Raw genomic sequence first — 21,433 nt, forward strand, 5'->3', positions numbered from 1 at the left:
GTTGCAGTGAGCCGAGAACACACCACTGCACTCCAACCTAGGCGACAAGGCAAGACTCTTTCTCAAAAAAAAAAAAAAAGAAAAAAAAAAGAATTTTGAGAGCAGAGGGACTTGGGTTCAAATCCCAGCTCTGCCACTTCCACAGTTGTGTGACCTTGGCAAGGAATTTGACCTCTTTGAGCCTCAGTTTTCTCATTTATAAAATGCGGATAATAGTAACCCTTGTCTCTAAAATGAGATAAACACATACGATGTTTGGAGTAGTGCCTGGCGCCTAATGACTATGCAGTAAACATTAATGCCTGCCTCCATTGTTATCACCATTTCAATTTGTTTTGGTTGATACCAAGCTTGTGGATCGCTTGCCAGGCAGTGTCTGGCACATAGTCAACACACGGTACTTGAGAATGCTTTTCCCAAGACGATGTGCTTGGCCCTTGCCCTCTCCTTGGCCTTGGTTGCCCTGCTTGGGAAATGGGCTCATCCCAGACCAGGCCACCCATGGGGCGGGGCAGCAGGCCAGGCTGTCTTTGGGGAATCCCGGGGGCCTCTCTGCCTCCCAGTATGGGGCTATTTTTAGCCAGGTGGGTAGAAGTTGCTGCTCTTATCTCTGCCTGGTATTTTTGGCACATCTTGACTGCCAGGGCTCCTCTGCCCTCCCACGCCAGCTGCACCCACGGAGCCCAAGTCTGAGTCCTGTGCCAGGCTCTTGTCTCCCAACCCCAGCCCAGGGGATACCAGGTGGAGGATGCCTGTCCAGCCAGCCCTCGTCTGCCTCCAGCCACCTCCAGGCCACCCACAGCTGGCCCCAGGTCTGAGGCTGTCGGGGGGGTCTCACATCTGTAAAGGGGAGCCGCGCCATACTCCCCTCCCCCAACGCTCTGTGTCGTTTCCATGGTGGTGAGCACAAATCCCCCAGCCCTGCACAGAGGAACCTTGTTTGTTTCGCCTGCATAACTTGGAGACCAAGTCACAGGACCAGGCCCCCCAAGTTACCCCCGCAGCGCAGCCCAGCCCAATCCCCCACCCAAACAGACAGCCCCAGGGATGGGGGGGAGGCAGTTATACCCCTTCCCCTTGAACCAGGCCAAGGGGCCCTGTGGGCAAGGAGCCAAGAGGTGTCACCTCCAAGTCCCTTCCCTGCTGGGAGTCTCACTTCCCTTGTCTGTAGAATGGGAACATGTCACAGAGATAGCGCATGGCCCGTACTAGGTACTTAATAAATGCACAAGTTGGCTGGGCGCGGTGGCTCACGCTTGTAATCCCAGCACTTTGGGAGGCTGAGGTGGGCAGATCACCAGGTCAGGAGTGCAAGACCAGCCTGACCAACATGGTGAAACCCCGTCGATACTAAAAAATACAAAAATTAGCTGGGTGTGGTGGTGCGCGCCTGTAATCCCACCTACTTAGGAGGCTGAGGCAGGAGAATCGCTTGAACCTGGGAGGCGGAGGTTGCAGTGAGCCAAGATCACGCCATCGCAGTCCAGCCTGGGCAACAGAGAGACTCCGTCTGGAAAAAAATAAATAAATGCACACGTTGTGCAAGTATTTCCTGACCTTGACCAAAGTAATTCAGCTTCCTGAGCCTCAGTTTCTCTACCTACGAAGTTGGGATGAAGGTATCTCTCTCATTGGAGAGGCTGAAGCATTAAACACAGGGATGCCTGTACCGTCCTTAGCGCTGTGCTTGCGTTGGGCAAGTGTCCATTCAGGAATTGCTTGTCTTCTTCCTGCCAATGCTGCTGTTCTTGTTAGTTTTATTATTATTATCCCCAGGTGGAGGTGGGGTGTTCCTCCATGCCTTCGCGCCTCTCTGGCTTCCTCCAGCTCCCTGGAGCTAGCTGCTGGCTGAGCCGGTCCCCCTCCTCCACGGTCCATCGTAACCTGATTTGGGGGGAGGGGCGGTGCAGCCTGGCACGGCCATTGTTGGGCCTCCCCCTGGAGCCAGGGCTGGGGCGGCGGGGGCGGGGCTGCCAGCTGTGCAGTGACATTCCGCAGCCCTGCTAACCGCTGCTCCTGACTCTGGTGGCTAAATTGAGTCTCGGTTTCCTTAAAATGACTATTTATTGCTTTAATGCAGTATTGAGTATTTACTGAGTGTTGGAGAAAAGGCTCGCCCAGTTTGGAGCTTGGCGGCCACCGGCCAGCGGGGCTGCTCTGGGAGGGTGAGTCTGGAGGAGGCGGGAGGCTCCTCTTACCAGAGAAACAAAAGCGCCTCCGGTGTTCCTTCTGCTGGGCTGCAGGGGCGGGGTTGCCCTGTCTCTGATCTGGACCACTCCTTCCCCTGGGTGGTGTGTCTTTGGAAGGAGGGGTTCACAGGACAGCCTTCCACCCGCTTCACCAGCCGTGGAGAATCGCTGGCCTTTGAACAGAGTAGGCACCAGCTGCCCCCTACCAACCCCCCGGGTAGCCCGCTACCTCGGTGGGGCCAGCCCATGCCAGCCCGGGGCAGCTCAGCTGTGTCCCTCTGCATGGAGACCTCCTCACAGCCCCAACAAGGCCAGCGTGGGCCCTCCCCGAGGGCTACACCATTGTCTCCAGGGTGAATGCAAACGCTGACCAGAACCCAGCAGGCAGCATGTGCGGAGAGGCTGAGATGTGCTGGTGAACAAAGATCGGAGGAGGAGGCCTCTCATCACAGCTCCTACGCAGAGGTTCCCGAGCTAGGCGCTGTGCCGAGGCGGTCTGCCCTGCGCCTCAGTAACCCTCAGAACAACCTACCAGGCAGCTTCTATGGCCGGCCTATTTTACAGATGGGAAAACTGAGGTTTGAGAGATTTGCTGAGAGGCACAGACGGGTCTGAACGCAGCTCTGGTGCTCTGCTCACCACCTCCTGGGGGGCAGCCCACTGGAAGATGCTGGGAGCAGGCAGGCTCCCTGAAGGAAGTGCCCATCGAATCCAGCCTGGAAGGATGAAAAGCATTCAGCTGACAGCCCTGGAGGGGCAGGGGGCAGGCCCAGGAGAGGGGACAGGGAGAGCCAAGGCACGGAGTTGAGGCCACGGACCTCAGAGTCCAGAGCAGCTGAGCCAGGTGACAGAGGCTGATGGGATTAGGGAGAGCCTGCCCTGGTGTGGCTGGAGCTGCAGATCCATTTCTGGAAAGAGGAAAGGGAAGCAGGAAGGGAGAAAGAGGGTGGAAAAGTAAGTGAGGGCAAAGAAAGGAAATTGAGGGCAAAAGGAAGAAGGGAAGTGAGAAAAACAGGTTGTTAATAGCAATGCTAATAATAACCTCACTGGCGCCATTCTATGTGCTTTACGTACGTGCTTTACGTACGCATGTTCTATGTGCTGTACGCTGATAACACACTGGGTAGTCAGGGCTGCCCTGTCCTGTTGCGTGTAAGTGGAGAGACTCTGAAGACTTCTGAGCAGGCCGTGATGCAGTTTGATTTTCATTCTGAAAGAGACAGGAGACAGCAGAGGGGACAAGGAGGCCTGGGCAGGGCAGGTATACAGGGATGAGGGCCTGCAGAGGGGCGGCGTGGGAAGAATGGGAGAGGAAGAGGCCTGGGCGAAGGGTTCGAGGTTTCTTCTCTCTCAGCCCTGGGAGAACAGTCATTTCCAGAAGAGCTGGTCAGAGGGAACTGAGCTTAGGGCGAAATGACAAATCGGTCTCTTTTGTTCTCTGTATTTCTTATAGATTTTTTATTTTTTATATTACAAAATCGTTGTTGCTCATTGTAAAATAAATTCAGGCAAAGCAGAAGTCAAACAAAATGGGACAGTATTCATCCGTTCCCTCACCCCTTTCCCAGAGGCGGTCAGTTGACAGATGCGTAACGTTCCAGGCCTTTCCTACAACATAGGAGCATGTTCTGTGCACATCCACTTGGTTTTCCTTTTGATGGGATCCATATTTCCTCTAACTGCTCTGCTCTGTACTGGCTTGTCCCACTTAGCAACACGCTGAGAACACCTGCGCACATCAGTACACGCAGATTTGCTGTATCTTGCAGCCACGACGTAACAGTCCAGGGAATGGGTGAACTTTGATTTATGAACCCATTTCCCTACTGACAGCCCTTTGGGCAGCTGCCAGTGCTTTGCTGTCACACACACCATACATCAGTGAGCATCCTGGTACATATATCTTTGTGCGCATGTGCCGCGTGACGGGAGCTGGAGTATAAACACACTGGGCGGTGCTGCCTTGGGGGCATCCACAGAGCAGCCCAGGAAGCAGGCCAGTAAAGGGGTCTGGATCCCCAGAGAGGCTGGGAGCTTGAGGGAGGGGCCGGTGCTATAGATCTGGAGGTGGTGGTTTGAGAGCTTTTGACATTAAGTGACACTCAAAGCCATAAGAGAACAAAAACCCTGAGAGTCCTGGCATTTAAGAGCAGGTGGAGAACTAGGAACCCACAGGTCTCTGGGGAGAGACCAAGACCGTGTGCCTTCAGAGAGTTTCCAGAAGAAAGGGATGGCCAAAGGTGGCCAGTGGCAGAGGGCAGTGTGTGCTTAGTTGTCCAGCCCCTGGCACAGTGCCTGCCCACAGTAGCTGCTCAGTAAGCAAGGGCCAGTTAAATCAATCAATCAATGAACGAGACACTCGGGTCTGGAAGGTGTTGTTTGTTTTCAGCTGAGTGGTAGCTTAGGGAAAGCGGAGGCAGCTGAAAGCAGGTTGATTGAGGAAGAAAGTGCAGGTGATGATGTGGTCCCACTGGGTGTGGACAGAGCAGGGCTGGCCAGGGAAGGTGAGAGGGGGGCAGGTTGAGGGACTGAAAGGAGCTGAGTGTCCTGGCAGGTTAGGAAACGGAGGGCAGAAGAAGAGCTGCTGGGGAAGTACTTTGGTGTTTGGGGCTCAGGGACAGACACTCTTACTGAGACCAGGGGTCTGCAGAGACCTCAGCATTGCAGGGAAAGATCCCTCTGGTTGGAAAGGGTGGCTGAGTCAGGCTGTGTCACTTCCTGAGCACAGTCCTGGCCACTCAGCGCTTACTGTCTCATCACACCTTCACCAGAACGCTGCAGAGGCAGATCATAACCTCCCATTTTATAGACAAGGAAATTGAGGCTCTGGAGGTGGAGTCATGGGCCCAAGGTCACAAAGCTAAGACTTTAGCTTTACAAATACAGAAGCAGGATTTATTATTATTATTATTATTATTATTTTGAGATGGAGTCTCGCTCTGTCGCCCAGGCTGTAGTGCAGTGGCACCATCTCAGCTCACTGAAACCTCTGTCTTCTGAGTTCAAGCAATTCTCCTGCCTCAGCCTCCTGAGTAGCTGGGATTACAGGCGTGCACCACCACACCCAGCTAATTTTTGTATTTTTAGTAGAGACAGGGTTTCACCATGTTGGCCGGGCTGTTCTCCAACTCCTGACCTCAGGTGATCCACCCACCTCAGCCTCCCAAAGTGCTAGGATTACAGGCATGAGCCACCGTGCCTGGCCCAGAAGCAGAATTTAAATCCACATCTTTCAGACCCCAAAGAGGCCCCACTCACCTCTTGTCCCCCTAACCCCACATCCCCCAGGCCCTCCTGGGTGGTGCTTGGCAGGGGATGATAGACAGGCAGGGAGAGGGGCCTTCTGGAACCTGGCTCTTTGTATCCACAGTTGGGAAAAGCATGCCGCACTTGCCCTTTGTTACGCCTTCAAGAATGCTTGACTGGGTGAGGAAACTGAGTCATGGCCAGACTCGTTTGCTCTTTAGAAATGGACACGGAAGCAGCAGCAGGCCTGGGGTCCAACCCTGCCAAGGGGCTCTCTGGCAGCTTGAGCCCTGAGCAGTCCTGGACCCCGAGGGCGGAGGACGAGGGGACGAGAGGAAGATTGTAGCTGGCATGGGCAGGAAGGTGGAAGGGCATTCCATGCGGCGAGGGTGCACCTGAGAGGGCATGGACTGCCTGGATGGTGAGGCTGAAACAAGGCCTGGCCGCGAGGAGGGTGGAGACAGGGATGAGGGCTCCTGTAGATATGAGAACTCCCGGCGGATGAGGCCTGGGGAGAGGGAGGGGCCAATCTGTGAGTCGGGAGCCCTGGCCTCGCCACTAACCAGTCTCAGACTGTGGGTGGGTCACTGCCCTCTCTGCCTGGGCCTCCCTGGACTTCTGAGAAAAGTTTCCTTCGGGTCTGCATTGTGTATTTGTATGAGCGCATGTGTGTGTGTTCACGTGTGTCTGGGTGTGTCCCTGGGCACCTGCAGCCTGCTTGGGCATCCGTGTGGGCCTGGGGGGTCTTCGTTTTGACGCGTCTTGTTTGTCCAGCCTCTCACATTCACGTGTGTGAGTGTATACCTGGGCTTTTGTGCTCCTCTGGGTATGTCTGTGCACACTGTGTGTGACCCCAGGTGCCTGTGTGTACGTCTGTATATGGCAGTATGTTTCTCTGTGCAAGTAGGTGCCATTCTGGTCACCTCATGTGTGCACATGTGTTAAGGTATGTGTCCATGGGATGAGGGCTTGGGTCAGTTGTCTCTAGGGCAGGGCAGAAAAGGAGGTCATCAGAGCCCAAAGTTCCTCAGGATCTGGGCAGTCCGCTCCTCTGCCCTTCCCCCAGGATGGCCCCCAGGTACTCCCCAGGCCATGAGGCAGGACAGGAACCACAGTGGCCATGGTTAGAAGTGGAGGGGGTAGGAGAGAAATGAAGCCTTCCGAGGAGGCTGAGGGCAGGGCTCCTGGGTGGAGGATTGGTGGACAACTAGGGGTGAGGTCACCCAACAGACAGCGAGGAGACCCCCTTCCTGGCAACTTTTCCAGAAACCTGGCACTGGGAGGGCCCTAACCCAAATCCCAGTTCCCAAGAGAGTCCCGGCGTGTGCCTCAATCTCCCAGAATATACCAGCTGGGCCCCCAGAGCAGTCACCTGATGCTGGGTCTGAGTGACCCCCTCCAAGGGGCAGAGCCCTGAAACAGCCCCCACAGCTGCCTCCCATGGCCAGACATGTGCATACATGAGTAGAGGCGGCAGACCTCCCCACGGGTGGACACGTGTGCATGTGCATGTACAAATGCATCAGCAGTTGTGCGTGCATGTAAATGTGTGAGCACACTCAGAGAGCAGCCTGTAGATAGAGTTGTGTACGTACGCATCCTTGGTGCGTATGAGCATGCATGTGAGTGTATGTGGCCAGTATGTGTGCATATGGGTGCAGACGCGCTCAGATTTGCCGGCATATTGTGCTGGCATGTGTGGGCATGTGTAAACAGCAGGGTTGGGCAGATGCAGATGGACAGGTAGGTGTGAGTAGGTTGACACGCTTGAGTACACGTATGCACACATTGTCAACATACACATATGTATTGACAGGCATGTGTGAGTGGACACGGGTGAGGGCCTAGACTGTTGGCACATGCAATACAGGTATGCACACATATGTGGTACCTGGGTGCTGTGGGTGGCAGTACAGTCAGTCCTCCCTCACCCTCTTGGATAGGTTCTTGGAAACTGTGACATTAAGCGAAACCACAGACAGCAGGTCCTCAAATAACGTTTCCATGTAACACGGACGAAAAAAGTTTATTTCATTATATGGCGTTTCTCTTAAAGTCGCAGTTCCCAAGAACCCATCCACAAGGGTAAGTGAAGACTTACTGTGCGTGTCACAGGTGAATTATCATGGGTGTGGGTATAGCTGTGGGTAGGCATGAGGATTGGGAGCCCAGCACACACAGACCTCCCACGCTAGCTGCCACCACTGTGGTTGTCTGGAGGGGAGTGCAGGACAGATACACAGCCAGGGGCCATGCCAGGTGGCAGAGAAGGGGGCAAGAGAACTATCAGCTGGGACACCTCCCATACTCTCCAGAGTTTGGCACCCAGGCACAGCCCCATGCCCAGCTCACCAGCCGTTGGCAGGAATTCAATCCCACCCCAGTAAACCCAGCTCTGCTTCGCCACCGCCGAGCTCTGAGCTGGGGGGAGGGGACCCCGCTCGGAAATCGGTCATAAATTTCTTGAGATGCTTTAATTTTTTAAAAGCCCCACGTAGATGCTTTGCATTGTGAAAACCCACAAATATCAGCTAAATGAGGTGCGCCAGCAGAAGGCCCGCCAGGCCCACAGCCCTCCCCTCCCAGCAGCTGGGCCCGGGCTCAGCTGGGGCCCCTGGCCTGGCCAGCCAGGGCCGAGGGGCCCATCTTTGTTCCGAGCAGAGCTCAGACTGCAGAGTGGCTGGGTAAATAGTCGCCGCAGTAATCGCAGGCTGATTCCAACTAATTAAATCCTGCGCCAAGAGCCCACTCCAGCCGGTATCCCGAGAGGCCGCAAAAACACAGACACCCCAGACGGGGCACTGCTCCAGGCCGGCTCTGGCTCTCTAATCCTGTATCTTTTGAAAGATAGGCGCACCCCGGGATGAGAGGTCAGCGGGCCTGCCCTGTGCCGAGCGGTGGAATTTTTCAATAACCAGCAGCTGGGTCACCAGGCACACAAAGGCAGTGTAATATCCTGTGGGCTTACTCGGGGAGAGTGAGCGAGCCAGCTCCCTCCAGGCCAGGGCAGCGGCCCCCCACAGCCCAGGCCCCCAGCGGCCCAGAGGCCACTTGGCCAGGCCTCCACTCCCCTCCCTCCAGAGGGGCAGAGAGGGAATAGAGGTCGGCATTCTCCACCACCCCCTTCTCCTGGACTGGGGCTTCCAAGTAAATTCATCTTCCTTATTAAAAACCAGCCTTGATGCTCCCGAGCCCCAGCTGTGGCCGTGATGGGACCTGCCTGGGGCAGGGCTGCTGGGGCCGGGCTCCTTCCAAGGGGTCAGTGGATGCTTCTCACATAGGGAGGCCACACCACAAGGGGTGAAGGTCTCCAGCTCTGGAGTTGGAAGGACCGGGTTCAAATCCCTTGGGCCTGTCTGCTGGAGGCCATCCTGGCTGGCCCAGTACTGGCTGGTGACCTTGAGCAAGGCACTCAGTAGTACCCTCTGTGGAATGGGATCATGAGTTACAGTTATTAGAGGGACTGAATGAGAGCCAGTGTCTGGTAGCTCCCCCTGCCTTAGTTTCTCCCACGGAATAATGGAGATCAGGGGCCTCCCTCACAGGCTCTAGGTGAAGCAGGGTTTGTGCCCATGCGGGGCTCACACACTGTAGAGAGCTGTCCTTGGCGGGACCTGTGCAGCACATGTGAGAGTGATTAGAAGCTGCAGAGACTCAGTTTATTTTATTTTATTTTATTTTTTTTCCCAGAGAAACAATAGTTGCCCCTCTCCCGAGTCTGGAATGCTTTACGCCCTGGGTCTGGGACCCCTCATTTAAATTGGCTGCGAAGGGACAGGCACTGTGAGCCTGGAAGGGGGTTGTTAGGGATGGAAAGCCGGGGCCCAGGAATTTACAATCCGTTACTTGAGGGATGTCCTGCCTCCCTCTCGCCCCATTCAGGCCTTCTCAGACCCAGCATGTGCCGTAAAGATGTCACATGGGGTGCGGGGGGCTGAGGAACAGTCCAGGGCCTGGCCTTAGGGAGGGGGGCGCACACAGCCCAGGACAGAATCCTGGCTGCACCATGTCCTGGCCAGCGGAGCCTGGCAGGAGCTTCCCTCCCAGAGGCACTGGTAAGCGGAAGCGTTGGCTTTTATCGCTTGCTGGCCCCAGTGATGCCAGAAGTGAGGCCAGTGACGTGCCCAGGCACATGACACTGGCACAGGACTTGGTCAGAACGGTGCGCCTCTCGCCGCCCACCTGTGGACTCCTCGCCCACACAAAGCAAGAGGCTCTTTTCGGCTTTTGCCCAACCACATGCTGACCTATCTCTTACTGGGGGCTCTGGCACTTTGTAGCTGTGAGGCTTGGCACAAGGCTCAGTTTTCTCATCTGAGAAATGGGAAGACTCATTCTCCTTGCCTTCCAGGGTCGAGAGGAGATGAGAACTCCAGAAGCTCGGGCCAGAGCCTGGCTCACAGCAGGTATCCATGCTGGGGTCTGGGGGAGCCCCAGACACCACAGGGAGCCCCTACCTAGGGAAAGGGCATTGAGGGGACCTGTCAGAGTGAATGGGGAGCCACCCACAGAGGGTAGGGAGGGCTCTGCGTGCTGCTGGCTGGACTTCCTGGGCGTCTGACACACCAGGCCCCACAAACAACTCCGCACCAGGGAGCTGGGCAGATCTGAGAGCCGCACAGGAGGCCAGTGGGGTCAAGCTCAGGGACCAGTGTAGAAAGAGGCTAACCCAGGGCTCCCTCAGGTAGGGCAGAAGGTAGCTTTTGGCACCATCAGGGAGGTGGAGATGGACAAGGGAACACAGATTTGGGGCCAAACATGAGGCCACGGGGTTTTTGAGGGGGTGGTTCCCCAGGCACCCAGCTTCACCAGGTCCCCGGGCTCTGAGACACTCCACCTCCACTCTGGGCAGAGAGGGGGCATCGGGGGCATGGCTAGGGGCCAGCACTGTGCTTCCTGGGCGCCTCACCTCCTCCCTGACTCCTGGAGACTCCCAGCCCCTGTCTGGGAGATGAGCATTTAGGAATCTGCTTGTGCAGGGGTGGTGGGAGGGGCCGGGGTGGAGGGCGCATCCCCACGGGGAGATTGGATGGAAATGGCCTGCCAGTGTGTGTGTGAGTGTGCGCCTGTGGCAGCAGCAGAGTAAACAGCCGCTGCCCTGTCCTCTCTGCGGCCGTGGCCAGGTACACAGGCCTGTTTGGACAGCTGCCTTGTCTGTCCGTCTGTTTGGGAGATGCTGGCTGATAGATGGGGATGGGCGGACTGTTAACCCCTCGTTGCCTGCACTGCTATGTGCTTCCTGCCTCATCCATGGGGTAGAAGGTAGCCAGAAGGTGGTCCTGGCTGTGCCCCCAGCTCCTCTCTAGGGGGGAAACCTCTAGTTCTGAGTCAGGGACAGAGTGAGGAGGGCTCCAGGGCATCAAGAGCTTGCTCCTCCCCGCACCAGGGAGCCAAGGACAGAGGAGAAGGGGGTCTTCCCCAGTGGTGACTAGGGGCAGAATATGTCTCTGAGTGAGTGTCTGGAGCCCTCCTCACCCCAACACCATGCCCTGTGGAAGCTCCTCTTCCTTTATTAAAAAGTTACTGCCAGGCTTTCTCAGGGCTGCTCTTCTTCAGGAACGCCTGCTCCACTTGTAGGGTGGGGTGGAGGAGGCTGGGGGGGCATTCAGGAACACCAGCAACAGGCCCCTGCTAAGTGTGAACAGGCAGAGATGGGGCCTGGGGCCACCTGTGGGGCAGCTAAGCTCCATCTGTCTCCTCTTGGTCATCAGAGAGCCTGGTGTGGGGAGATCCCTGACCCAAAGATGAACGGATGCTGTGCTGGCAGTCAGTGCAGTGAGCCAGGTGACTGCCTGCCTGGCATCTCCACGTGGTCCCCCATCTGCCACCCTGTGCTCCCATCTCAGGCAGGGCTCCCCCATCCACGTCCACCAGGCACCTGACAGGGCCGAGGGAGCCACTCCAGGTTTCCCATTCAACCCCAAAGCCCCTGTCCACTTCAGGAACTCCCTACATGGCTCTCTGGTAACCCACCCCCTCTCCCACTCCAGGATCCCAGCCAGGACCCGCTGTGCCTCTCACCTGCAGGGCACCAGCCTGGACCCTCTTAGCGAGTCTCCCCACAAATGATCTTTAAAAAATGTAAATCACTCAAGCCACTCCCTACTTAAAACCTTTCAATGACTTCCCCGTGGCTCTTGAGATTAAGACAAAAATCCTTTAAATGGCCCACAAGACCGTCAACAGGGCATGGGTTAAATAAGTTAGGGTTTGCCCTGTAATAGAGGATCAGGCAGCTGTAAAATCAGGTGCTGTTGTTCCAACGTAGAGTCATCTCCAGTCATGGGGTGGGGGTGGCGGTTGTAGAGCATATTAGCGTTTGTATAAAAAAGAAAGTGGAAAAAAATCCCAATCAGTCCTCATTACCAAAACAAAACAAAACCCCCCCAAAATACACCCAAAACCAGGCCGGGAGGGGAATGACAGATGCACTCGGCTTGGTGTATGTGGGCTTGTGTATGTGTGATACGTCTCTGGAGGAGGGTCAAATGAAAGACCTGGATTGCCTCTGGGGAGGGGACCGATGGCTAGGCATGGGGTAGAGGAGGATGCAGAGAACGCCCTTTTGTATTTGAACATTTCAGTATTAAATTATGGAATGCATTACCTCTTCAAAAACAAATTCAATAATTTTTAAGATAAAAAATGTTGGCCGGGTGCGGTGGCTCACGCCTGTAATCCCAGCACTTTGGGAGGCCGAGGCGGGCGGATCACAAGGTCAAGAGATCAAGACCATCCTGGCCAACATGGTGAAACCCCGTCTCTATTAAAAGTACAAAAATTAGCTGGGCGTAGTGGCACACGCCTGTAATCCCAGCTACTCAGGAGGCTGAGGCAGGAGAATTGCTTGAACCCGGGAGGCAGAGGTTGCGGTGAGCCGGGATTGTGCCACTGCACTCCAGCCTGGCGACAGAGCAAGACTCCATCTCAAAAAAAAAATTAAAAAAAAAAAAAAGATAAAAAATGTTCAGTAGGCCGGGCGCGGTGGCTCACGCCTGTAATCCCAGCACTTTGGGAGGCCGAGGCGGGCGGATCACGAGGTCAGGAGATCGAGACCATCCTGGCTAACACGGTGAAACCCCGTCTCTACTAAAAATACAAAAAATTAGCCGGGCGTGGTAGCGGGCACCTGTAGTCCCAGCTACTCGGGAGGCTGAGGCAGGAGAATGGCGTGAACCCGGGAGGCGGAGCTTGCAGTGAGCCGAGATCGCGCCACTGCACTCCAGCCTGGGCGACAGAGCGAGACTCCGTCTCAAAAAAAAAAAAAAAAAATGTTCAGTAGACAGTGTGTAAGACCCTGCACACTCAGGCAGGCTCCTGTACTCCCCAGCTTCCTCTTGCTCCAGGCACCCGCCCTTCCCTCGCAACCCTCTGCACCTTTTATTTCTCATTGATTCTCCTTGTTTCTCAGGACCTTTGCACACAGTGTTTCTCTCCTGCCTGGCCTCTCCGTCACCTCCCATCCTTGCCTGGCTGATCGCCCTCCTCTCCCCGTCTCAGCCCAAATCTCTGTCTTCCGAAAAGTGGCCTTCTCTGACTTGCTCCCCACCACAGTCCCCAGGATGGGCTGTCTCCCAGTGGCTTGTTCGCTGCTGTCCCCAGCACCCAGCACCGCACCTGGCACACAATAAGCACCGCATCAGTATTTGGGGGAATGGATGAAGTGGCAGGAAGAGGAGGATACCCTGGGAACTCCATGCCATGGGGCTTGGGACGTGCCCACCTGGCCTTTGAAGGATGAGAAGCATTTTGCCAGACTCACAGCGGGACAGTATTCCAAGTAGAGCATGGACAAGGTACAGAGACCAGGTGGCTGGCTTTCTCTAGCAACCTGTCTGCTACCCCAGTTCTTCCATGACCAAACTGGGTGTATTGAACAAGTTACCTCCCCTCTCTGAGCCTCAGTTTGCTCATCAGCAAAATGGGGGTGTTGGCAGAGACCTTTCAGACCTTTCGGAGTTACCAGGGGTGGGGTCCGCAGATCCCCATAGGGAGGACTTGCGCACAGTTGGCGCTGGGTAAATGCTGGGAGAACTGCTGCGGGCGAGGGGAAAGGGTTAAAGCTAGGCGCTTTTTAATTGTCAAATGACTGCGGGCGATTAGCACTGGCAGCTTCCTCAATAATCGCTCTTCTCTGTACCTGCTGGGAGCTTAATTAAAAAACAAAGAGGCTCAATTTAAAGGCCATTACTATGCTAATGCGGCCGGGCGGGCGGTGATTAAGCGGCTCAGGCAGGCAGCGGGCGGCTGGGGCGGGGCATGGGGCGATCAGTTACCCACTAAATGGGCGGGCTGCGTGCCCTGCCTGTCCCGAAGGCCGAGCCCTGACCTGCCTCGCCTGCCCTTTGCCCGTCCCCAGCCAGAGCGCAGGAGACCCAGGGATGTGGTCCCCCAGATTCTCTTCTCCATCCCTGGGAGAGGGTCCCCATCTCTGGCAGGAAATGAGTGGCACCCACACTTTCATATACCTCCTTTTAATTCCTGCTCCTGCCCCCTCCTCTCCGAGCTCCCCTGGGCTCAGCATGGAGTCCTGCTCCTCTCTGGCACCCCCTTCTCAAGATATTCTCTCAGGCCTCTGTAGATGACTCAGCCAGGGGACTCATCTTGCCCACCCACTACTGCTATGTCTCCACAAAAAGCCCGGCACAACAGGTCACTGGCTAGAAGCAGGTATCAGGCTCCCAAATCTCTGGGTCATTTGCTTCCCAGTCCCCAACTACCTTTCCAACCTCCAGGAAGGCAGGAGAGTGTGGTGGTTACCAGCCCAGCTGACCTGGGGCCCCAGCTCTGCATTTCACCAGCCGGGTGACCTGTGTAAGGAAGAGACTCCTACCTCCGGTAGTGGTCATGAGGCATCAGTGAGGCCCCTGAGTGTGAAGCTCTGAGCACAGGGCTGAACTGGTTCCCGTGAGTGTAACGTCTAGTAGGAGCGTCTGCCAGCTTCATTCACAGCCTGCGTTCAAACATTCGAGCAGGAGCACAGGGCATGTACTCAGGGCATTGCGGGGAGGAGGAAGCTTAGTCCAGATCTCAGGAAAGAGACTGGGTAGTAAGGCCCTCCATGACTGGGCTAACAAAGTTGGTGCTATCTCTGGCTGCATTAAGAGGAGCATAGGATGGGAAATAAGGGAGGAGATGGTTGGTCCTCCCTCTGGAGGAGAGAGCTACCATGCCTCAAGGTCTTATATGGACAGACTCAGGCTCATTCAGAGGGTGATTAGAATGTGGAGAAACTGCTGGGCATGGTGGCTCACGCCTGTAATCCCAGCACTTTGGGATGCCAAGGCAGGTAGATCACTTGAGGTTGGGAGTTTGAGACCAGCCTGGCCAACATGGTGAAACCCCATCTCTACTTAAAATACAAAAAATTAGCTGGGTGGTGGCCCGCGCCTGTAATCCCAGCTACTCGGGAGGCTAAGACAGGAGAATCGCTTGAATCCGGGAGGTGGAGCTTGCAGTGAGCCAAGATCATGCCATTGCACCCCAGCCTGGGCGACAGAGCGAGACTTCGTCTCAAAAAAAAAAAACAAAAAACAAAAAAAAAAAACAAAAAGACTGCGGAGAAGCTGCCACAGGAGCCTAACCAAGAAAGGGAGGTGTCACTGTCTTTGAGTGCCTGAAGGGCAAGAAGGAGCTCACTTAGTCTGTGGGGCCCCAGCTGAAGCTGGGCATTTGAACACAACATATGACACCCCCAAATCTGTCTCAACCCCATGCTTTTTACCCTGAGCATGTTTTTATCACCTGCCTGGTAAAATTTGTAGTAATAAACTTTGGTAATTTTGTTAACATTGAAAACCACCCATCCTGATCCTGGGGAAAATTTAGCTTGGTAAAATAATCCATACAAAATATAACTGACAACGGTGACACGACCACAGTAAGATGTGTCACTGGCCACAAATTAACCAAAGAGTCCATCAGCAGGATCCAATACAGGCAAAAACCTGATGCTAGAGGAAAGCTTTATAGAAAATTTTTCATGAAAAATAATTATCTCAATGAGAATAATTTTAGGGAAATAATGGGGAAAGTAGAAAATTATTTGACTCTACTAGAAAGAAAATTGATTTAAAAAAATGCTTTAATGGAGTTTGTTCCAGAAAACACTTGCTCAAAGAAAGTTTATTAGTGTTGTTACAGCCCTAATTAAAATGCTATGGTCTATGTGCAGCAGTCCAAAATCCTTAAAGTCATAATGGTGGGGTCAAAATATCAGCTGGGTCAGCCACTTGGACACCCTAGTGGTACCCTGGAGATCTGACACTCCGCTCGCATGGAATACCTGCTCTCCCATTCTACCAGGAGCCCCCTGAAGACTGTGACCCTGCTGATTCCCCATCACCTAGCACAGAGCTTAGTCATGGTGGCTTGCTAGTGCCTACAGAATAGACAAATCATATAGTGAAAGTTTCAGCCCTTTCAGGAGGAACTGAGTCACTACATGGCGTTTGGCACAGAACAAGTAGCTAAGTATTTGTTGGACGGATGGAGGCATGGATGTTTGTATGGATAGCTGGTGGAGAGGGTGGATGTAGCTAAGTATTTGTGAGCTGGATGGAGGCATGGATGTTTGTATGGGTAGCTGGTTGAGAGGGTGGATGGAGGGGGGATGGGTAATATATGGGTGGTGGATGGATGGGTAAGTGGAAGGATAGATGCATGCATGCGTGGATGTTTGTATGGGTGGATAGATGGTTGAAGGGGTGGGTGGATGGGGGACAGGTGGATAGATGGGTAGGCAGATGGGCAGATGAGTGGATGTATGGGTGGATGGATGCATGGATGGATGGGTGGATAAATGGATGATTTTATGAGAAAAAGAGAGGTACGACCTATCCTCCTTAGCACAACACACAAGGTGTCCAGCCTGACCTTTCTTTCTCGCCCACACTCCAACCTGACCACTGTCTCCAACCTGACCCACTATCTTCCTAACCCTGAAAATGGCCTCCATTCCCTTCATGCCATTGTGGTTTTTCAACTTCTCCCTCCCAGAATGGGCTCTCTGCTTTTCCACCTCTACACAGAGCCTGACTCTGGCCTCAGACACACACATTCCCATCCCAGCCCCAACACTTCCCCCATTGGAATCCTCTGAACTCTTTGAAGTCTCCAGAAAGTCCTTCCTGCCCCACCACTCTGCCCTCCACCCGGCTAAGTTTGAATGTCTTCAGACTGCCGTGGAGCCCCCACCCCTTACTGGGCACCTGGCTCTGGGCCTGGCCTATTCTGGCCATGCAGGGCCCCGGAGAGAAATCCAAAGGCCTCTGCCTCCCGTGGCCCGGGGTTTCTCACCTTCCACGTGCGTTGTCAGCCCTCTGGACTGTGGGCGCCATCATCCCCCCATAACCCTGGTGCCCCCAGCCCAGGCCAGAGGCCCAGCAGCTCCGTGCTGATGAAGCAAGTGCAGAGTTGTTTTGGGAGGTGGCCAGGGCAGATGAGGTTAAAGCAGGAAAGGGCTTCAAGAACAGGGAGGTCCAGGAAACCAAGCACAGAGACTGGGAGGATGAGCAGGAGCTGGGAGGCCCAGTGTGCCAGGCTCAAACCCCAGCTCAGACACTAAGCAGCTGTGTACCCTCTGCAAGCAGCACTTTCCTCTCTAGCAAAGAGAGTGATGTTGCCTACCTCGCAGGGGTCTTACAGAGGAGGAGTCCATGGGCAAATAAAGCCCAGAGCTTGCTATGTGGGCAACAGTCAATACATCTTAGTAAGCAATAATAATGATAATAATGAATGTTGGATTTGGCAACCAGGAGCTGCTGACCTCAGTGAGAATGGGGGAAGGTACCTGGGACTAGCTCAAAAAGGTACCTGGGACTAGCTCAGTTTGATGAGCAGGTGGGAGGAGGAGGTTCCTACTGCAGACCAGGAGAGGGCCTGGCTCATGGTAGGTGCCGGGTAAACGTTAGATGAATGGGTGAATCACCAAATCATCAAATGTATTGAATTCACTAGTGAAGGGGCAGAAAGAAGGGGGAAGAGGGTGAACTCAAAGGTCATGAAATAGTACAGGTAAAGCCCTTCGCACAGTGCCTGGCACATCATAGCTCGCAGCCTCCCTGATGCCCGGTTGGTCCAGGATTTCCTGTGGCTCTTCTAGCCTGGACTAGAGTCCCAAGTTCAGCCAGAAACGATGCAGGGAAGGATGGTCAGAGGGATGTGATGCTCCACCTCCTACCTGCACCTGACCTGTCTCGACAATGGCAGGAGGGCTCCTGCCTGTCACCAGGGAAGGTCTGGTCCCCACAGAAGCCTCAATATCCCCACCACCCATCGGAAGTCAGAGCCCCAAAGGTGGGAAACCAGTTGTCAGATGCCAAGCCACATGGACACGGCTGCTCACCCTGTAGCAGTGTGTCTGTGTAAGTGTATCTGTGTGATTGTATCTCTGGGTGTGTCTCCATCCTGGCAGCATCTCCACACAGCATCTCCAGTCTGTGCCTCTCCCTGAACTCCAACCTCACACAAGCAGCTGACCCTGGACCTATCTGTCCACATGGCTGCCTAGAAGGCAGCTCAGACCTAACACATCCAGGGCTGCACTCCCTGTTCTTCCCCTGCCTCCCCACAGACGCCATGTCCTCTAGTGGCAACTCCATCATTCCGGATGCTCAGCCAGGAGATCTGGGACTCATCCCTGATGCCGTCCTTTCTCCCACGTCCTCTCAGGCCCTGTCTGCCTTCACAAGGCTTCCCCTGCCCTCCTGGCTCTGAGCCAACACCTTCACTGTGCTAACTTCCCAAAGCCACTCCCTGCTCCTCCCTCTAACCCGGTGCCCCCCCTACAGGTGCCTAAGGAACCTGGTTAAAATGCCAATCAGAGGCGGACACAGTGGCTCACACCTGTAATTCCAACACTTTGGGAGGCTGAGGTGGGTGGATAATTTGAGGTTAGGAGTTCGTGACCAGCCTGGCCAACATAGTGAAACCCCATCTGTACTGAAAATACAAAAATTAGCCGAGTGTGGTGGCGGATGCCTGTAATCCCAGCTACTTGGGAGGCTGAGGCAGGAGAATTGCTTGAACCCGGGAGGCAGAGGTTGCAGTGAGCCAAGATCACGCCACTGCACTCCAGCCTGGGCGACAGAGTGAGACTCCATCTCAAAAAAAAAAAATAATAATAATAAAATAAAATGCCAATCAGATCACACCCCCCCACCCTTCCCAGGGTCCCTATCTCATGTGATCTGTCCCCTTTGCCCCCCAGCTCTACCTGCACCTTGTCCCCATCACTCATCTGCTCCAGCCACACCCCAGATACTTGCAGATACTTGGTCCCCAGGGTCTTTTTTTTTTTTTTTTTTTTTTTTTATAGAGATGGGCTTTGGCCATTTTGCCCAGGCTGATCTCAAACTCCTGGGCTCAAGCAATCTACAAGCCTCGGCCTTCCAAAATGCTGGGATTACAGGGGTCAGCCACAGAGCCCAGCCTCCCCAGGGCCTTTGCACTGGCTCCTCCCTCTGCAAGGAGCCACTTCCCCCGATATTGTAGATACCATCCCCCAGGTGTCGGCTGGAATGTGTGTCTCATTCATGCCTCTGACTGTCCCTTCTAAAGCTGCAGCCCCATCTCTCTTCCCTGTCTTCACTCTTCTTTGCCTTGTAGTCACCATTCGTCATACTCTGTATGAAATGGATTTATCTACGTGTTAAAATAGATCAGTGTTACTGTCCTTCCGCCTATGAGAATGTCCTCCACGGGTAAGAAGGAACTGGGGGTGGGGGCATTGGGAGGGGCTGTCTCTCTTCTCACTGCTCTAGCCCCGCCTCCAGACAGCGCCGGCCCGCACATAGTAGACGCTAAAGAAATATTTGTGGGGCCGTGTGCGGTGGCTCACGCCTGTAATCCCAACGCTTTGAGAGCCCTAGGTGGGGGGATCACGAGGTCAGGAGATCGAGACCAGCCTGGCTAACATGGTGAAACCCCATCTCTACTAAAAATACAAATATTAGCCGGGCGCGGTGGCGCCTGCCTGTAGTCCCAGCTACTCGGGAGGGTAAGGTAGGAGAATCGCTTGAACCCAGGAGGCGGAGGTTGCAATGAGCTGAGATCACGCCACTGCACTCCAGCCTGGGTGACAGAGAGGCACTCTGTCTGAAAAAAAAAAAAAAAAAAAAAGAAAGAAAGAAATATTTGTGGAATCGCCAAATGTGCATGTGGGCCTCCCTGGCCAGGCTGGCCTGGGATGGCTCCCCGGGCTCCCGGCTGTGCCCGTCCCTCCCTGTCCCTGGCCCGTGACCTCCAGCCCCGGCTGGGGGCTCCCGACAGCGCCCCTGGCGCGGATCAAAGGGCCGAGGGGCCGGCGGCCCCGCACAGCTGCGGGCCGCAGGAAGCGCAGGGGCAGCCCTCGCTGCAGGCCCGGCCCCGACGCGGCGAGGAGGCCGGGGGAGGCCGGGAGGCTGGGAGAGGCCCCGCGAGGCCCGCAGAGCGCGCCCGTCTCGCCGCGCATTCCAGCCGCGTGATTGACGCGCGTACCGGGGCCCCCGCCCGCGGCTCCCGCCGCCGCCCGCCCGGCCCGCGGCCGCCGCATCAAAGCAGATGTTTGCAGCTGGTTTGAGTTGGATCCCCATCAACAGGCCCTTTTTTGTCTCAAAATAAAAAACAGCTACGCCCGGAATGATAAGGACGCGGCAGGCACGTGGGGGAGATGTCAGCGAGTCCGGCAGGGAGGAGGCCGGGCGGCTCCCTCTCTAAGTGACAGGCTGACTCTAGCAGCAGCAGCCGTGACCCCCAGAGTGTCTAGGGTCCTGTCGCCTAGCTCCTGTGAACTGCAGCTCATCCTTCAGCCGGCATCATCAGAGCCCCGTCCCGCCCACAACCATAACCTCAGCCACCACACTGAGCGCTTACTGTCCGACATGCTCTACAGCCTGCCATCCTGGGCACCTCGCCACCAGCCTAGGGAGGAGGTGTGACACAGGAAGGTCAATACATTATGATGATTACCCATAAGGTGGGAATTGGGGTCACCAGTTTTCAAATGGGAAAACCAGTTCAGAGAGCGGAGAGGGCTTGTCCCAAGTCAGGCAGCTAGGAAGTGGCAGAGCCGGGATTTAAATCCATTCCTTCTGCTCCAGAACCGGGTTCTTAGGTATGTGTTATGTCACCTTTTCCAAGAAGTCCCCAGATAGACTCTTGGTGCTTTCTGTGCCTCTCTGCTTGCCCAGCATGCCCCAGTACCCCATCCAAGCACGTGTCCTACGGGATGAGATTCTAACTCCATGCCCCAAGTCCATGAGCCCAGCCCAGAGTCAGCCTCCATGGGTGTTTGCTGGGTGAATGTGAGAGGGTGTAGCCGGTGGGAACAGAAGGGCTGCAGTGCAAGGGCCAAATCTCATGGTCCCCATGGAGGGAGGAAGGTGTTTCCAGCAGTGGTTGCTGCTGGGACCGTGGGCTTGGGCATGGAGAGGCCCTAAAGGAAACCAGCCTAGAATCTGCCTGGTCCCCAGTGCGGGGCATACCTATAAAGGGACAGACAGACAGACAGGGAGAGCACAGACCCAACAGTGCAATTACGGGGCTTCAGACAAAAAAGGGAGGTGGGGAAGAGAAAGTTCCAGAGACAGACTGGGGAGGAGAAGAGAGCACACACCTATTAAGATCCCTCCTGTGCCAGACGCTGGGCCATGCCTTCCCACACTGGTTAAAATCACCAGATTCTCAATTACCAGGGAGGGACAGGTCAAACCCCCATTTGACAGAACAGGAATCTGAGGCTTGGAGAAGGGATGTGAATCACCCGAGGCTGTGCATCACCCGAGGCTGTGCAGCTGGTGATGGAGGTGTGGCAGCCACACCTGAAGATGGAGTAGGGGCTGACAGAGCTCTTGAGTGTGCAGGGGAAGGAAGGGACACAGGACAGAGGGTCTGGTTGGCTCCCCTTGAGTCAGATGTCCAGGCCTGGTCCAATCACTTCCAGTCACAAGAGTCACTTAGTACAAACATGGTACCCCCCGTGGTCTTTCCCTTGGTACAGGGGATGAGGGTGCTTTTGG

At 55.1% G+C, this 21,433-nt stretch overlaps 1 protein-coding gene across 3 annotated transcripts in view, besides 9 other annotated features; it reads left to right on the forward strand.

Annotated features, from left to right (window-relative positions):
* LMX1B (LIM homeobox transcription factor 1 beta) overlaps positions 1-21,433 on the forward strand; it is an 87,105-nt gene that overhangs the window by 49,432 nt on the left and 16,240 nt on the right. The window lies entirely within an intron of this gene.
* Positions 336-852: an enhancer, noted in NCBI's record as "H3K4me1 hESC enhancer chr9:129425974-129426490 (GRCh37/hg19 assembly coordinates)". NCBI's record gives its function as "activates a minimal SCP1, AML or CMV promoter by ChIP-STARR-seq in naive H9 embryonic stem cells {active_cell/tissue: H9 hESC(naive)}" and the evidence as "EXISTENCE:reporter gene assay evidence [ECO:0000049][PMID:30033119]".
* Positions 853-1,367: an enhancer, noted in NCBI's record as "H3K4me1 hESC enhancer chr9:129426491-129427005 (GRCh37/hg19 assembly coordinates)". NCBI's record gives its function as "activates a minimal SCP1, AML or CMV promoter by ChIP-STARR-seq in naive H9 embryonic stem cells {active_cell/tissue: H9 hESC(naive)}" and the evidence as "EXISTENCE:reporter gene assay evidence [ECO:0000049][PMID:30033119]".
* Positions 2,071-2,365: a silencer, noted in NCBI's record as "tiled region #8141; K562 Repressive non-DNase unmatched - State 20:ReprD". NCBI's record gives its function as "represses a minimal TATA promoter and a strong SV40 promoter by Sharpr-MPRA in K562 cells {active_cell/tissue: K562}" and the evidence as "EXISTENCE:reporter gene assay evidence [ECO:0000049][PMID:27701403]".
* Positions 2,071-3,082: a biological region, named in NCBI's record as "Sharpr-MPRA regulatory region 8141".
* Positions 2,243-3,082: an enhancer, noted in NCBI's record as "H3K27ac-H3K4me1 hESC enhancer chr9:129427881-129428720 (GRCh37/hg19 assembly coordinates)". NCBI's record gives its function as "activates a minimal SCP1, AML or CMV promoter by ChIP-STARR-seq in primed H9 embryonic stem cells {active_cell/tissue: H9 hESC(primed)}" and the evidence as "EXISTENCE:reporter gene assay evidence [ECO:0000049][PMID:30033119]".
* Positions 11,076-11,731: an enhancer, noted in NCBI's record as "H3K4me1 hESC enhancer chr9:129436714-129437369 (GRCh37/hg19 assembly coordinates)". NCBI's record gives its function as "activates a minimal SCP1, AML or CMV promoter by ChIP-STARR-seq in naive H9 embryonic stem cells {active_cell/tissue: H9 hESC(naive)}" and the evidence as "EXISTENCE:reporter gene assay evidence [ECO:0000049][PMID:30033119]".
* Positions 13,111-13,639: an enhancer, noted in NCBI's record as "OCT4-NANOG-H3K4me1 hESC enhancer chr9:129438749-129439277 (GRCh37/hg19 assembly coordinates)". NCBI's record gives its function as "activates a minimal SCP1, AML or CMV promoter by ChIP-STARR-seq in naive and primed H9 embryonic stem cells {active_cell/tissue: H9 hESC(naive and primed)}" and the evidence as "EXISTENCE:reporter gene assay evidence [ECO:0000049][PMID:30033119]".
* Positions 13,640-14,168: an enhancer, noted in NCBI's record as "OCT4-NANOG-H3K4me1 hESC enhancer chr9:129439278-129439806 (GRCh37/hg19 assembly coordinates)". NCBI's record gives its function as "activates a minimal SCP1, AML or CMV promoter by ChIP-STARR-seq in naive and primed H9 embryonic stem cells {active_cell/tissue: H9 hESC(naive and primed)}" and the evidence as "EXISTENCE:reporter gene assay evidence [ECO:0000049][PMID:30033119]".
* Positions 19,939-20,659: an enhancer, noted in NCBI's record as "H3K4me1 hESC enhancer chr9:129445577-129446297 (GRCh37/hg19 assembly coordinates)". NCBI's record gives its function as "activates a minimal SCP1, AML or CMV promoter by ChIP-STARR-seq in naive H9 embryonic stem cells {active_cell/tissue: H9 hESC(naive)}" and the evidence as "EXISTENCE:reporter gene assay evidence [ECO:0000049][PMID:30033119]".

This window comes from Homo sapiens, chromosome 9 (genome assembly GCF_000001405.40).
Source record: "Homo sapiens chromosome 9, GRCh38.p14 Primary Assembly".
In the NCBI taxonomy this organism is placed as follows: Eukaryota; Metazoa; Chordata; class Mammalia; order Primates; family Hominidae; genus Homo; species Homo sapiens.